The sequence below is a fragment of the Homo sapiens genome, chromosome 2 (assembly GCF_000001405.40).
Source record: "Homo sapiens chromosome 2, GRCh38.p14 Primary Assembly".
Lineage (NCBI taxonomy): Eukaryota > Metazoa > Chordata > Mammalia > Primates > Hominidae > Homo > Homo sapiens.
Genome location: NC_000002.12, coordinates 137,999,100 through 138,016,698, shown reverse-complemented (window position 1 = coordinate 138,016,698; position 17,599 = coordinate 137,999,100). Strand labels below are relative to the sequence as shown.

General features: G+C 36.3%; 1 protein-coding gene and 1 long non-coding RNA gene across 5 annotated transcripts in view; one reads left to right on the top strand and one right to left on the bottom strand.

The window, feature by feature from the left end:
• The window catches only part of LOC107985948 (uncharacterized), a 37,893-nt gene extending 27,040 nt beyond the window's left edge, over positions 1–10,853 (top strand). Inside the window, exon 3 of the long non-coding RNA XR_001739719.2 lies at positions 8,903–10,853. This is a non-coding gene — a long non-coding RNA (uncharacterized LOC107985948). The remainder of the gene's footprint in view (positions 1–8,902) is intronic.
• The window catches only part of HNMT (histamine N-methyltransferase), a 51,892-nt gene continuing 34,627 nt past the window's right edge, over positions 335–17,599 (bottom strand). For 3 of the 4 annotated variants that reach the window (NM_006895.3, XM_011511064.3, XM_017003948.2), the window contains 4 exons: positions 15,674–15,781; positions 14,505–14,635; positions 11,474–11,567; positions 335–2,924 (listed from right to left, as the gene is read on the bottom strand). In NM_006895.3, coding sequence (NP_008826.1) covers positions 2,569–2,924; positions 11,474–11,567; positions 14,505–14,635; positions 15,674–15,781 — 689 coding nt within the window. In that variant the 3' untranslated portion in view covers positions 335–2,568. Of the gene's footprint in view, positions 2,925–11,473; positions 11,568–11,928; positions 14,416–14,504; positions 14,636–15,673; positions 15,782–17,599 lie in introns of those variants that run through there. The other variant, XM_017003949.3, reaches the window with a different exon arrangement.

Below are 17,599 nucleotides of genomic sequence, written 5' to 3'. Positions count from 1 at the left end.
ATATAAATATGATTTCAATAATAAAGTATTATGTGCCAGCTATTCTCATTAAACAAACATTTAAAATACATTAAATATACATTTGGGTCTGTGCAGTTCCACAGACTTAAGATCTAGTATTCTCCTATGGCCCTTGCATCTCTTTTTATGGTTGTGCATTAGAAATTACTTAACTTTTATGGCCCAGAATGGCAGGGCCATAAAAAAGTCACCAATTTTTATAATAAGCAAATATCAAGCCCTAAAATGCTGTGCTCCACATCATGCTTTCTCTTTGGGTTTTGGCAATATGCCCCAACAATACATGCAAAAAAGTGTCTGAAAGAGTCCTAAATAAGTTAAGGTTTACACTGGCAACACATAACTTTATTGGGTTTCTTGAGCTCTGTTTATAATAATAATATGAACACACAAGGTATAAGATAAATGTTTGAGAAGGAAATAATTCATTGATCCCGCTTTACTTAGCATTTACCATATGCAAGGCACCATGTTAAACACTGAGAGATCCACAACAATACATAAAACAACATTCCAAATTCATGCTGAGCACTTTTTTCTGAAACACAAGAACAAATCTGAAAAGTTAGTATGTGACTGTCCCAAATTTTGGTATTATCATACAGTGCAGGAAGAAAACAGGGATAGGTTTATCCCTTGAATTTATACAACTTCCCATTGCTGACTAGTAGGTTTTCATGGGAATTTCTCTCTTTAAAAAGGCTTATGTGTTTCAATTGCACTAAAATTAAGCAGGTGAGAATTTATTTATCCTTGTATACTAAGGGTTTAATAAGGACGAGAAAAAGGCCATATTTACAAACACCAATCTATGGACTGCAATTCTTTTGTATCTTTCAATAGCATTGTTAGTTCTAATTTTGTTTGTTTTTGCACGTGTGCTTTATACAAAAGACTCTGTAAAGTCTTGATTTCCATACTTCTGGTGAAGCTCTTCAAGGTCTTCATGGCCCCATACCCATCAATCATGTGTGCCTCACAGATTTCCTTTGTCAGTAGTACATATCAGTATGATTAACGGTTCAGTGTTCATTTTCAGGAATCTGATTGGATAACTGTCGTTTCATTTGTTGAAACATATAATTCAAAAAGCATTGATGAAGTTGTCCAAAAAAGAGAGCAATGCAAGTCCATTTTACTTATTATGAACAACAAAGCTTGGTAGTTTATTAGTGTAAATAGGCTCTCTATGCCAGTGTATTCCCTGGGGATAAACTAGGTGATTGAGATGGGTCGTTTAACTTTTTAAAGTGATTATACGGCAACATTACATGGAAGCCCTATTGCATGAAAGAGTGAGTATCACACGGGGTTGAAGGCTTCCTCACTGGCAGAATGAGGGCTCATGAGCTGTTTAGTAAAACCTTACTTTTGTTTTGTTTGTGACAGGGAGTACTAATTATTTACATACTTAAAATATTTATTTATTAATTATTAAATGTACTGTTTATGTCAAAAATAACAGAGCGTTATTATTAAAAATAAGAAACATCAAATTTGTTTTCAAAACCCCCCTGAAATCCTACAGTCCAAAGATGACTCTTGGTCTTATAGGAGTTCTTGAGAGTGACATAAGAAACTATAAAGTATCAAAATGCATTGAAGGTTTTCTAGAACCTTGCATTTACCCAATTCCTAGAAATCTGGTAAAAGCTGCATTTTAAGCTAGAACAGGTTTAGTTTTGTGTTTCTTTGTTCTTCAATAAATTTTGTTTATACATCTGGCTATTATTTTGAGGGGAAACAGTTTGTTCTCACTGTTTATACTTATCTAAATTTCAAACATAGTAAAGATTTCATTTTTTAAAAAAAGCAAAACTATAATATTATTTTGATAAAATGTTAGTATTCTAAAACCTTGGTTTTAGAAGGTCTTTTAAAATGTATCAGAAGCCGAGACTTAAAAAAAAATCTGGCTGAATATAATAGAAAACTTCAGTATATCAAAAAGACAAACAAAAAGCTATTAATTCACAGATAAAATTACAAGAGAAAACACAATGGGAAGAAATGACAACATGTGATAAAGAATTAATTTTTAATATTCTAAAGGTGCTTACTCTTACAAATTAATAAAAATTAGATAGAAAGCACAATAGAAGAACGTACAAAGATAAATGTTTCTTCACAAAACGGCCAAATCAGTAACACAGGCTTTGTGTTCAAAGTATTGATTAGTGCATACTTCACTAATAAAGAATCTATAGTATGTATTTTATTAGTATTCTAGAAAATTTCAGACAATCAGCAAATGGAATGAATTTTATTATCAATATGCCATAGAAATTCAGTCATCTAATTTTTCTAGCTTATGTTATGTTGAGCCTGCTTGTGGTCTCTCTACCTGGAGGAGGGACAGGATAAGACCAGCAGTATCCCATATGATTCCAAATGGAAGTCCAATAATGTATTGGAATTTGCTACATCTCATATCCAAACAGTGCTTTATCTACATTAATGGATGAGTTTGTGATTTTAATATGGAAATAAATGAGTGATTCGAGTTGTTCAAAATATAATTTTTGAATATACTTTTGTGATTGATAGTTATGCCTCAATCACTATGAAACTCAGAGTATTATTAAAAAGAACCTTCCCCTCTTTCTTAGCACTAAATTCAGGCTCTTGTAGATCTTTCCCAAGCTCTGCTCTGAGATCAGGTGGTGCTGTGGCATTAAAGTTGCAGGTTTCAGTCAAAAAATCCCAAAGCAGGTCTCCATTTTCATTACCATCAATAAAGCAGTCAGATATATCCATGGTGGACAAAAGGTCATAGCACTCATACTTAAGCCCTAGGTTGTCCAGCATCTGAGTGAGGTCATCTGATGTGATATACTGGCAGAGGTCATCCTGGGGAAAGCGTGATCCGTACTTTTTCCACAGCTTGTCCCAGCCACTGCTTCCTGTGCAATAAAACACAAGTCATGCTTTCATTTATTCTTTCTTTCATTTGCAGTCTGCCAGAAAGTACACTAGATGCTTAGAATAGAACAAAATAATAATCTTGTCCTTTGTGCAGCTCATATTTCAAGGAGTACAGGAGGAGAGAGAAAAATAAGTAAATATATGGTGATAAATGCTAAATGAAAAAGTAATCTGAGTAAATGCTAAGAGGGTTAAAGACTTTGATGGGCTGCTGTTTTAACTAGGGTGGTCGCAGAGTCTGTCTAATAACCTGACATTTGAGCAGAGACCTGACAGCAAGACATGGAGATATCAGGGGGAAGATGACTCCAGGAGAGAGATGAGCAGCTGCAAAGGACCTGAATACAGGATGATACTTGGCCCATTAAAGAACTAGCCAGGAAGCCAGTGAAATTGGAGCTGAATGAGTGAGGGCAGAGGGAAAAGAGATGAGGTTGGAGAGATTAGGGGTGGGGAGTGGATGAAGGGCCCAGATCACTTGGGGCCCAATGGGAAACCACTGTAATGCTGTCTGATAGAATTTTCTGAACCAATGGACACGTTCGATATCTGCATTGTCCAGCAGGATTGTCACTCACCACTTGTTGCTATGGAGCACTTGAAAGGTGGCTTAGGACTTGAGTTTCAAGTGTTACTGAAGACCTGAATTTTAAGTTTCATTCATTTAAATTAATTTCAGTTTCAACTTCACTACTAAAACATGGTTTCTGTATGGAACAGCACATTAGAATGACTCAATATACATTTAATAAGGTCACCCTGGCCTCACCGATGGGAAGAGAGTACTGGCGCATAAGGGCAGAGGTGGGGAGAACAGCGAGAAGGCTACTGTAATCACCTGGGGGATAGGTGGGGGTGGGTCCCACAGACCAGTGAGCTGGGAGGTGAAGAGAAGTGGTGGGAGTTTTTATGTGTTATACTCCGAGATCCAACAGGGCTCGCCAACAATTTGGATGTAGGATATGGGTAAAAAGAAAGAATCAGTGATGACCCCAGTAATTTCTGTGAGGGCGCCTGAGAAGACAGAATTGCCATTGTTGGAGAGAAGAATGAAGACGAGCAGTTTTGTATCATCAGGCCTCTGGTTTCAGGAATATAAATTTGAGATACCTACTGGACATTCAGGTGGTGATATGAGGAAGGTAGTTGTTAGTCTGGAATTCAGACAAGAATCTTTAACAGTGAAAATTAAAATGGAAAGAAAGAGCACAGTAAATGGTGATTTACTCAAATCAATGATTTTTTACTCTCATCTCTATATAAAAAAAGATGCTGCCTTGGACTGACAATAACTAGGTGGATTTCTATAAATCTTGTCCCCAAGTTTAGAAGACCTTTTAGCAATGTTTGTAGTACTAAACTGAAATTCTAACCCTGCAGAGAAGCTACGGAATACCTTATCTGAGGGAGACAGACATGAGCTGAACTCTTCTTCTGATGCTTTATGAATGAGATGAGGCTTGTTATCTAGCCTCTCAGAACTTAAATTTCCTCATCTGTAAAATGGGGATTATCAAACTTACCTTGAATGCAACTACAAGCATTACATGAGATAATTTAAGTGAATTATTGCGTAATGGTACGCACATGAAAGATGTGTAATAAGTGCTTATAAAATACATGAATTAGTTTGCTAGTGTATTTCCACTGATTGCATTCTTGAGACTAAAAAAGCAAGCCTGCTATTCAGAAATCTATAATAATAATAATGAGTTTCTATTTATGGGCCTTCTAATACATGCATATTACATACACAGTCAGTACAGGGCAGTAATAAAGAGCATGGTCTCTAAAACCCAACTGCCTGAGTATGAAGCCTGGCTTTCCTTCTTACCAACTTTATGAACCTGTGTCTCAGTTTTATCATCTGTAAAACAGGGGTGATAATATAATCCATTTATAGACTGCTACAAGGATTCACTGAGTTAATAAAGTAAAGACCCTTAGAACCATGACACAATAGTTAACGTTACTGAAGTGTTAAACTGGATTTGGCAAAAGCAATATAAGAGACAACTTATACTTTCTTTGTGCTTCTAGGATTAAATGTCTTGAGATACTTTTGGTTCCCAAGTCCCCTTTATGATCTAGTGAGAGTAACTGACTCTCCAGAAAAATACACAAACAATACATACCCACACAGTTCTGCATAAGATTATAGAATGCTCAAAGACCCTTGGCGCTCATGCATGGATTAAGCTAAAGTTCCCAGATCTAATTTAACTCAAGAGATGAACCAAGACAAATAATAGGCTAAATAATAAATAGCCTAGGATAATTGATGTTCTACTTATATTTCAGAAGAGGGAGAGGTAACTGCAGGATATGCTCTAGGAGAAGGTGGAATTGGAATGAAGCAGAAAGAATAAAACCTCTGTTCAATGAAAATAAATGAGGGTTGTGAGTATTTATTTAAAAATCTTTTATTCCAAAGACAGTGGATTGTCTTCCTAAATAAGAGTTTGCCGGCAAACAAGACATTACAAGAAAATCAGCATTTCAGTGGTTGAAGAGAGGCTCTGTTATCATCATTATTATTATTTTTAACCTGGCAGAGAAAAAAGAACCAAACACTAATTGCAAAAAATTTGCTGGTGTCAGTGCTGTGACTCGGTGCCATTTCTGAGCTGAGCAATTATGCACTTCCCGACTAATGCATTATCATAATGGCTCTCGGTGGGCACAACATATGGTGTTACTTTTGTTTTCAACATGATGTAAGCCAGATTTTCTTTTTCTCACTGCACTAAAAATAACACACAATGATTTTCCTCCTTCCTTACTCAGGTAAGGAGAGGACAGACAGAAAGCTTCAGTGATCTCCTTCTGGCTCATCTCCCTTAACCAGACAGGCTGCCTTTTAAACAGCAACCCTCCCAATTGATGCTTGGCTATCACATTTGCAGAAAAAAACTTTTCTTTGATACCATTTTAGTGTGGGATACTCCACATTTTTTAAAGAAATCCAACTCTCTTGTTCTTATATCTCTTCTTTTTTATCCCCAAATCAAATTTCTTTCATCTCCATTATCAGGAACTTCTACTAGTTATCACTAAATGACAGTCTCTTGAGTTAGGGTAATTCTGTAATGGATATTTAGAAACACAGAGGAAAGGTTGATTTCCATCAAGCAACATATATTTCCATAAGCTGACCAGTAAATGTTGTCATTTAATTCTGATTTCAATTTCTTTTTCTTTCCCTAAAAATACACAAATAGTTTTAGTTGTTTGTTCTTTATTGCTTTTGTCTGGCTGCTTCCATTTGCTGTGTGTGTGTGTGTGTGTGTGTGTGTGTGTGTGTGTGTGTGCGTGTGTCTTTTTTATTGAGCCTTTTATTCCTATTTATTAAACTTCATCTGCAAATATCCAGAACTTCCTGTGTTCTCTGATTTCGTCAAGTCAGTTTTAGCTGAAATATATTCTCTTTTTTTGGATGTATATTCAGAGCTTATTGTAGTTCTGATATCATAAGGCAGAAATAATAAACAATTATTCAGTTCAATTAAAACATATTTACTAAGTATTGTCTCTGTGCCAAAGTCTTTACAAAGATGTAGGAACAGAGATGAATGTCCCTATATGCCTCCCTATATACCATGAGTACTCAGTTTTGTGCATTGGAGAGCAGCTATGGATGACAATATTACCCTGAAACAAATGAACATACACAGAAGCATCTTCCCTTTTAGGTAATTATGAAGCAAATTCCATTAAGAAAGTGACCCAAAGAATCTTAATAAAAACAGAACTTAGTGTAAACCAATGTGGTATAGACATTCCAAGTTCTGGGTCAATATTCAACTTTAGGAAATGTTTCAATCTGTTGAGTAAATGAAAAATGGGGTTTAAAGAATTATAGCTCTGGTGGAGAAGGCAAGCTAGGCAATGGTTCCTAAACAGGGGTAAGGAGGGATGTAGATGGAACACCTCGGCTGATGAGGTTTCTCAAACTTGTTTTCTTTCCACTGACTAGTCTAGCAGATAGGGATTTGAAGCTACATCATTGAAAGAAAACAATGAGTAGTAATTTTGTGGATCATTCCTATGTGTGTTCACTGACATCAATATGAAAATGTCTGATTGGAAATTTCTTGTGATCAAATTTGTTTCCAATGTTGGAAACTAGACTTGATCTATTTTTCCAAAAGCTGACCAATATATTTCTATTGGGTATGTTAATACAACAAAGCAACTATTGCTATTTTTTTAAAATAGGAAACTACCATCACCCTCATCATACACTGAGGGGGGCAAAACAATTTATCTCAGGGAAATGTGTTGTTGTTAAGACAAGTTCATGTGTGCACAGGTTTATCTAGGTGATAGAAATAGAACAAAAGGGATTTAAACTACTCTATAAGAGGGTTGCTGGGTCAACTGGTAGTTCTGCTTTTAGCTCTCTAAGAAATTGCCATACTGCTTTCCACAGTGGTTGAACTACTTTACATTCTCACCAACAATGTATGTGTTCCTTTTACTCCACAACCTCATCAGCATCTGTTATTTTTTGTCTTTTTAATAAATAGTCATTCTGACTGGTATGAGATGGTATCTCATTGTGGTTTTGATTTTCATTTCACTAATGATCAGTGATGTTGAGCTTTTTTTCAAATGCTTCTTGGCCACATCTCTGTCTTCTTTTGAGAATTGTTTATTCATGTCCTTTGCCCACGTTTTAATGGGGTTGTTTCTCTCTTGTAAATTTAAGTTCCTTATAGATGATGGATATTAGACCTTTGTCAAATGCATACTATGCAAATATTTTCTACCATTCCGTAGGTTGTCTGTTTATTCTATTGATAGTTTCTTTTGCTGTACAGAAGCTCTTAAGTTTAATGAGATGCCATTTGCCAATGTTTTTATTGATTTTAGTGTCTTTGTCACAGAATCTTTGCCTGTTCCTATGTGCAGGATGGTATTGCCTAGGTTGTCTTCCAGGTTTTTATAGTTTTAGGTAGTCTTTAAGCCACATTGAGTTGATTTTTGTATATAGTATAAGGAAGGAGACTGGCTTCAGTCTTCTGCATATGGCTAGCCAGTTATCCCACCACCATTTATTGAATAGGAAGTCTTTTCCCCATTGCTTGTTTTTGTCAGCTTTGTCAAAGATCAGATGGTCGTAGGTGTGCGGCCTTATTTCTGGTCTCTCTATTCTGTTTCATTGGTCTATGTGCTTGTTTTTGTACCAGTACCATGCTGTTTGGTTATTGTACCCCCCTATAGTATGGTTTGGAAACCTATTACTGGGTATATACCCAGAGGAATATTAATCATTCTGTCATAAAGACACATGCACATAAATGTTCATTGCAGGATTATTCACAATAGCAAAGACATGGAATCAACCTAAAAACCCTTCAGTGACAGAGTGGTTAAAGAAAATGTGATACATATACACTATGGAATACTATGCAGCCATAAAAAATAAAGAGATCATGTCTTTTCTGGGGACATGGATGGAGCCAGAAGCTATTGGCCTAAAAAACTAATGCAGAAACAGAAAACCAAATACCGCATGTTCTCAATTATAAGTGGGAGCTAAATGATGAGAACTGATGAACACAAAGAAGGAAACAGCAGACATTGAGGTCTACTTGAGGATGGAGGGTGGGGGGAGAAAGAGGAGCAGAAAAGATTATTATTGGGTAGTGGGTTTAATACCTGGGTGATGAAATAATCTGTTTAACAACCCCCCGGACACGTTTACCTATGTGACAAACCTTCAGATGTACCCCTGAACTTAAAATAAAAGTTAAAAAAGAGGGTTGCAATAGAAAATGAGGAGGTGGCATCTTAGCACTGAACTAAGAGGATATGAGGGAAGACTGAGAGAAGTTATGAGAGCAGGTTCAACGGAAGTGTGTCCAGATTGAGCAAGAGAAAGGTGAGAAAAAGAGTCACGGTGGGACCTTAATGCTAAATTCTGTTCTTTGTTCCTCTTTCTCCCCCACAGGTCCCAAAATCTGTCAAAAGCAAGAATGGTGTTTTGGAGAAGGAAGGAGGTAGGACTATGTCCATGTTTAAGGCAATGTGAAACAAGATGAGAAAGGGCGGCTGCAGCACATGCAAGATTTGGGGAGAAGAAATCAAAAGTTGAACTTGGAGCACACAGTGGATGGCAATCACCAGGAACATTTAAGTCTGACCCCCAGGAACCCTCAGGAGTAAAGGAGTGATGATGAGGGGATGGATTACCCAAGTTACTTGAAATGAGAACTCCATCATTTACTCTGGATCTTTAAGAGTTAAGTATGACATGCCGATAGGATTGGAGAATCTGGGGACATTCCAGTTCTACTAAATTGATGACAATGATCAACATATTTCACAATTCTATTTCTCTTTTCAGGTAGAATTATTTTTCACTGCAAAGTATTCATTATTGGGAAAAGTAGGTTTTAAAAAAAATTAACTTATATTTAATTTATTTATTTTCTTAGCATTCTGACAAATAGAGGCAAAAAAAGCCAAGACATTCTTAGGCTTAGGAGAGAGAGACGTAGAAAGCCCCAAATAAAATATCGAAATCTTTCTTCTACTTTTGCGAAGTGGTTTTTCTTTTAGGAAGAAATAGATGGCTATAGCTGTGTAAATCTCTTCTCAGAAGAAGTGATATGGTAAAGGAAGGAGATCATCAGAATCTCTTTAATCATCTGTCAAATGTTATTCGTTGCATTCTATTAACAATGTTTTCCTCTTTGGAACAGCTGTCTCCTGTGCTATAAGCAGTAATGAAGAATTGTTAACTGCATATTGAGAAAGTGAGTAAAACATTTCCATCATCAAATACTTTGGTTAAATAATTTTTGACTAAAAATACTTTTCAAAAAAAGCTAACTGATTGTTGAGTCTTTACTCCCTTTCTTTTGATTTTTTTTATGATGAATGCTTATTTACAGATGGTACTTATGAGCCACATATATGAAAAGATGTAATATAATGCAGATAAGGTTGTCCAGAAATAGCCCTTGAATAAACTGAGATGCAGAGACCAAATTCACATAGTTAAAAGTGCCTCAGTATTCTTGCACCATGTATTAACATACAACACATTTCATTGGGTTTATTTTGGTCTTCAAATTTCTTGATGCCAATAATCATCAATTAATTCATTCATGATACAGCCAGCAGAATACTGTAGCCATAAGGGCACTTAATCAGTTCTCAGTTACTTGTGGACTATTCATGCTCCCTTCTAAACTTCAGGCTGGCTTTGTCTTATTGGTAATATATACTTATAGAAAGCTAACTTCTGGGTGCTCAGATACTTAATTTCTGAAAATATGTTAGAATAAGCCAAATATAAATAAGAGATTAGACCTACTATTGAGATGAAATATATTCTAAGATAAAAAATACATGACTTCTCAATGAATTGTTATTTCCGTCTACAATACTTTTTCTGTATGATTGATGAATATAATCAAGAATAGGCTGCCTACAATGTTGATAACTAAGTTTACTTTGCAATTCTAAATGCAGTTTATAGTGCTTTACTAGCTCAGAGAGAGGTTAGTAGGATGAGTCCAGTTTCCATAAGCCCTTCTAAATGGGAAATGAGACCTCTCCCACATAAATGAGTATTTTTAACTAAATAGAGATAAAAATAGTATATCTAAATGTTCCCTTGCAGGAGAGGTTGTGTACAGGAGCTCTCTATTGCCAAACTTTCACATAAGGTCAAACCCAGGATTACAAGCTATAACCATGCTTGCCATCTTTAAAGCAATTCTTCATATTTAAGAACAAGTCAATTTTGTGACATACGGTGTTAAAGTATGGGGTCTGGTGTAACCTTAGGAAGACAGAGTCTGCTGTGTATCTAAAATCAACCTGTAAGTACTGGTAGAAAATCCATAAAGATTGCTGAATGAAAGAAGTAATAAATACTGTCCTCAACAATGTCAATGTTTCATTATCTAAAAATGTTTACTTGGGTTCTCTGTGTGATACTTACTAAATCCCTGGCAGCAACTGGACATGCTCACATGCCTCCTTGGAAAATAAAACACCAACACAAAACAAAACAAATGAACTGTTTTTGATAGGCATTTGAAAAAACCTATAGCAAGCAGTGTTGATCATGGCTCTAAGAATGCAAGTCAATTAAAAATGATGACATCTGAAATAGTTTAACCTTTATTTATTAATAAACATCATAGAGGGAAAAGAAACACTCAAATGACACGAAGTAGGTAAAATAAATGTTTACTATTTTTAGTCTCATTTAAAATCTTTTGTCAGTTGAATTTAAGCTATATAAAAAGGATTCATATATAGAAGACAAAGACATATTTTCCCAAAAGAAAGAAGTAGACAGATGTTTAATTCCACTATACCTTCTAAATTGAGAACTGTTGTGAATGACTTCCCTAATACTGTGAAAATTAATTGGCTATGATTAGAGGCCAAGGCAAGAATTTCATAATGAAGACAAAATATATAAGCTTCTTTCAAACACAGGAATCCATGCATACGTGTATTATTGCTGTTTTAAAATTCAGGCTGAATGAAAATAACTTACCTGACACAACAATAATGAGCATCTTAGCATTGGTACCTAAGAGACTATGGAAGAATTTCAGGGTAGCTGGGATGTCTTTTACATAATACAGCATCTAGAAAGGAGGAAAAAGAGAAATGAGCTGCTTCTGTATGTTGAAGTCTTTATTGCTTGGGCTAGATACTCCTAGAAAGTTTGATTTTCTAGTTGAGTGAATTTTTACCCAAGAAAACACTTAAGAAATTTAAAGATTAAAGACGTTGCATGAAGACATAGAACAATAATGTGAGAAAATATTTGGGGAAATGGAAAAGTATGGTATTTGTTCGACTAGAGTCAAATGGTTTTAAATTTACTCTTTCTGGCTTCCATAGCACAGACATTTATAGCTGGAGACACTTAGTCACCATTCCACATGGGGACATGAATCCTATGCCTATTCTATAATTCGTGAATTGCAGTTCTTCTGGGAGAAAATGGTTCTGGCACCATAAAAACAGACCCCATTTCATGGAACGTTACTTTACAATTAAGCCCTTTGCACTAGCTTCTCCATATGCTCACAGATGCTTTTTTAAAATCACAGAAAATGTGACAGCCTCTGATGATGACAGATTCTGTAGGAAGTTGGACTAAATAAAGCATGAGGTTATCTGCTTGGTCACAGGGTGTTTAGGGGTCAGGACACCCATTTTTAATAATTCTGGATCAATCTCTAGTGAAGTACAGGCCTTTCCACCCAACACAGAACTTGGACTTAGGCATTGACGTGGGAAATTTTTCCCCATGGCTTGCATCTTTGGACCCCACCCCCATAGACACTTCTTATATCTCATCTTCATCTTTGTTGGACAAGAATTCAATATTCCATATAGCCTGTCCTTAGAGAATTCATTGCACAAAGGAAAAGTACTTTAGCTGTGCCTCTTTCATATGAATGAATGAAATAAAATGGACCTGACCTGTGCATGGCTCATGGTGCCTTAGGGGCCACACTCCACATTTTCCACCACAGGGACCATAGGCAGGTACCCAAATATAGTGAATCAATATGATGGCTAACAATCTACGATATGACCTGGCTAGAAATGTGGAAGTGGGCCATAGAAGATACCTTAAATTTTTCTCAAAGACAGTGAAATTTTCTGAATTGACAGTGAGGTTGTAAAAGTATCATAAGAGTGTGAGGACTATAATGAGTAATAGAGAGGCAGAGACGCTGCACAGAAAAATGGGGCATAGACAGAGATGGAGAGAGAGGAACAGGATAGAGATTCAGAGGGAAACAGAGTTGTTATAAGAAAGAAGGAACAAACATGGAAGTTTTAAGAGAAATAGGAAAGAGAAGCTGATTCCTGAAATCACAATATTTATAACAGAGAAAAGAATGGGATCCAGGGTTAAGCAGAGGGAGTGGTTTTTGATAAGAGGAGGTTTTTGCAATAAGATGGAAGAAGGAGATGATGCACAAATGCAGTTATGTTTGCAAAGTTAGAGGGTAAAAAATGAGTATCTGGCAGTTTCTATTTTCTCTATACATTATGAAGTGAGGTCATTGGCTCAGAACGAATGGTCTGGGAGAGATTGCAGGAGTGGTAAGGAGACAGGGGAGTTATGAAATAGTTATGTGAGGAAGTGGGAACAAAAGCAAGTCTGGTAGAGAAATATCTTGGCATCCTGGACAGTGATAAGTACTACCTGACAGGCAAAAGATTTCATCAGCTAAAGAAGCAGAGACATAGAATTGCCTGTATATGACACAATTGGAGTATTTCTTCCTTTGACTTCTTGTAAGTTTATTCTTTTGGGGTGATTATCATTGTAGACCAGGAAGAAAAATAGTGTTTTGTCGTTAATCAAGTGGTATTGCCAAAATACGTACATTTCCCGTTGGTAACCAACTTCCAAAACCCATACATCCCTTATGCTATTCAGAAATGTTAGTTATCTCTGGAAATCCAGCCCCATGCTATCTACTCAATAGTCACTCCCTTTCTTTTATTATTATTATTATTATACTTTAAGTTTTAGGGTACATGTGCACAATGTGCAGGTTAGTTACATATGTATACATGTGCCATGCTGGTGCGCTGCACCCACTAACTCGTCATCTAGCATTAGGTATATCTCCCGATGCTATCCCTCCCCCCTCCCCCCACCCCACAACAGACCCCAGAGTGTGATGTTCCCTTTCCTGTGTCCATGTGTTCTCATTGTTCAATTCCCACCTATGAGTGAGAATATGCGGTGTTTGGTTTTTTGTTCTTGCGTCACTCCCTTTCTATAACATGTATGAGTCAGTTTGTCGGATCTGGATAATGGAAGTAAAAATTTATTGAACTGAGGCATCATTTAACCTGCCCCTTCGACCATATGTCCACTACAGAAACACTCTGGGACATTGGTCCACCCAAACCATTAGAGCCACTAGAGAATATGTTATGATGCTATCATTCTCAAATCTCTATATAAACATCCAATGATATAAAAATAAATTAAAGACTGGGTGCAGTGGCTCACACCTGTAATTCCAACACTTTTGGAGGTTGAAGAGGGAAGATCACTTGAGCCCAGGATTTCAAGACCAGCCTGGGCAACATAGTATGACCCCATCTCTACAAAAAATAAAAAATTAGTTGGGTGTGGTGGTGCACACCTGTGGTCTCAACTAACCAGGAAGCTGCAGTGGGAGAATTGCTTAAGCTCAGGATTTTGAGGCTAGAGTGAGCTAAGATCATGCCACCGCACTCCAGCCTGGATGACACAGCGAGACTCCCATCTCAAAAAAGAAATAAGAATTAAGCCAACATTTTTAAAAATGGATAACTTGTAGAGGTATTTTGATTAGAGAAAACTGGTTTTTGGAATGTTAAAGAGAATCTTAGTATAATAAACATCTTTACCTTTTATTTGGGCAGATCATGGTCACTTGTAAAATTAGAAATCAGAAGATTTTCATTTACCTTTTAAAAATTAGAATAGTAGATATTCATTATATATATATTCTGAAAAGTCTTCTTTCTGAGTATATATTATAATACATATTTCTTACTTGAATCATATGAATAAAGTCCCACTTTTGAAGCTCCTTTTTCTCCAACATTCTACTTTGGTATTCAGATGATGTCTCCTTATGCCAAGCAAACTTTACGTTCTCGAGGTTCGATGTCTTGGCTACAAGCTCTAAAATACAGAGAAGAGGTGACACACCATCAATTTTAATTGCAAATGTGGAAACCATTTCCATTTAGAATTTTAATGCAATCAATGTTATATACAAACAGATAGAAAGAACGTTTTTCTTTCTTATGTCTGGGAGACCAGAGAGTTCATACTGCTTTTTTTGGTTTCTAGTATTTAATGAAATTAGAGGTGAAAGAAAGAGTCAGGAAGAAATAATTACAAGAACCCTGGGCAGAATAGGTTATATTGTCTTAGTATTAATGAAGAATCAACTGGTGAATTTTATCAATGGAAAGTGAATTGGAAACAGATATGTTTGTATAATTCAGGAGAAGACAAACTACAGTCCAGGGACTATATCTAGCCTGCTACTTATTTTTGTATGAACCGCAAGCTAAAAACATATATCGTTCTACTTCCTGACTTTGTGTCACTGCCATTCATGTTTCACGTCATTATATTTTTGAATGATTTAAAAAAACAAAAGAAGGATGCTAATTCATATGTGAAAATGATATGAAATTCAAATTTTAGTGTTTACAAATAAAGTTTTATTCAAACACACCCATGCTTGTTAGTTTACCTATTTTTCTTTTTGGCTGCCTTTGTGGCACATGGCAGGTTGATTAGTTATGGCAGAGACTGAATTGACCTTCTGAATCTAAAATATTTACTATTTGGCCTTTGCCAGGAAAAGTTTGTGAACTTTTACTGTAACCCACTAAACATAAGCTCTTTAAGGTTGGTTTAAATAATTCTGGATCAATGAATGAATCTGTACTTAAGCATAAACATCAAAAGGTAATCATTGATGACAACTGGGGAATGGATGAAGTGTTAATAGAAAAGGGAGTTTATTATTCACTGTTCACATTTTGAGATGTTTAGTCATGCCTGCCAAGAACTAATTCAGTTCTTCTCCCAATAAGCTTGTGAAAAGCATACCACAGTAACTATATTTTTAATCATTCAAGGGAACAATTTGAGTTAAGTCTTTTGGGATAGGATCTGGTGTAGAGGACCAGGAGTTACAGGTACCTTTGTATTTGGCAATTTGTTCAGCACTTGGCTCAACAACTTCATTGTTGATACAAACTCCTGGGTATTGAGCCTGAACTTTGGAGAGAATTTGAAGATCAATTTCACCTAGAAGATAAACATATGGGACAGGTCACATCATTCCAGCAAGAAATGATTAAAAACAATTTTAGCTGATTTATTATCTGCCCTACCTTTACTAGGAAAGCCTAACATAAATAAAGAATAATGTTCAACTGCTGCCCTGCCATGATGCAGGGCAGCTAGGTTCTAAGTAGGCATAGTAATGTGACTCAAGGAGGGCTGTGAGTGCCATCCATTCGTTTACATGATCTTTAACATCTATCACTATATTTCATCAAATCAAAGATGCTGTTGATTGTAGAAGGAAATTAACCCTTATTTTTGTTTCACCAAGTTAGAAAAAAGCCACTGTCAATTAAAATTTTAAGATTTTTATCAACTGGAGAGCATAACAATATCAGAGGTATTAAAATACGAAAAAAAAATGCACCTCAGAACTGGCAGAGTAGGCTAGGCCAGAAGAGTACAAAAAAATGTCAGATTAAATAAAGGGTACAAGCATATGTCAGGTAAAATAAAGAAGAAAAACATGTCAGATATCTGCCCTCATAAACACTATTACCTGTTCACAGACACAGAAATAGCCCTGGCTCAGTTGAATCAAGGTAGGAAGAGGGAAGAGAACATATGGGGAGAGGACGAGAGATGATGCCAGAGTGATGATGCTTCATGGGGGAAGATCACTCATGAACTCTGTCACTCCCAGGGTAAGTGGGAGTTAGCCCAGAAACTGTGGGGAAGTGAGGGATTGCAGGTACAGGGGACAAGATGACAGATGCACACACAGAAAATAAAAGAGTATATTTGGAACTACTAGCAGTCTAGATTTCTTAGAATATTGAGCAAGGCAGGACTTCCAAGCAAGAATCCCTGCCCTGGTGAAAATTCAGCCTGTAAGGGTTAGTGTAAGAGAGATGACAATAAGTCAGATGGACTTGAGTTTTAAACCTGTCTTCTTCACTTACTCGGTGTATACGACTTTGGGCAATTTGCTTTACCTCTCCAAGCTTCTTTTTTTTTTTTATTAGAAAAATAAAAATAATAATAGTACTTAATTTATTAGTTGTGAGGGTTAAATGAAGTAATGCATATAATGCACAGTGCAAAATAAAGTTGGCAGTGAATAAATGTTAGCTGTTCATTATTTTTATTGTTATCTTGAGTACATCTATTTGAAAATATCTCTTCTCTCCCTCTTGCTGATGCCTCCAACTTATGTTTTGCACTTTTATTCAGTTAGGTTATGATGTTGACCTTCACTAAAATGGAAATACCTCCTGGCAAGATTAGCATAGGAAAATGATGTTAGTCTTTAACATTTGGCATAAATGACATTAGCAGAAACTTTCCAAGGCTGCACATAGCAGGAAGCAAAAGCAGAGGTCATAAGACTGGGAGGTCTGGAAGGAAAGAGATGAGGAAGATAAACCAGGAACAGAAGATGCTAGACTGGGAAAAGACAGTGGTCCAGGTGCATATGAGAGTCCCAAGTACTGACAATAGGAGATGGCGTACATGGTGTGTGTGGAGGGAAGGAGGGAGAGTGGGAAGGAAGCTGAAATAGAGTATGAAGTCACTTATGTGACAATTTTCTTCACAGCCAGCCCTACCTACTTGAAATCATGTATTTCTTCACTGATGACTATAGCTGCCATTTATTATTGGCCACCTACTATTTGCCAAACACTGTGCTAGGCTTTTTACCTGGAACATCTCATTAATCCTGACAGCAAGTTCCATGATATTATTAATATTCCCAACTGGATTAGGTGATTTGAGTATGTTGACATTCAAGGGATATTGATATACCTGAAGTTTAAGTCACATTTGTCTAAATCTACA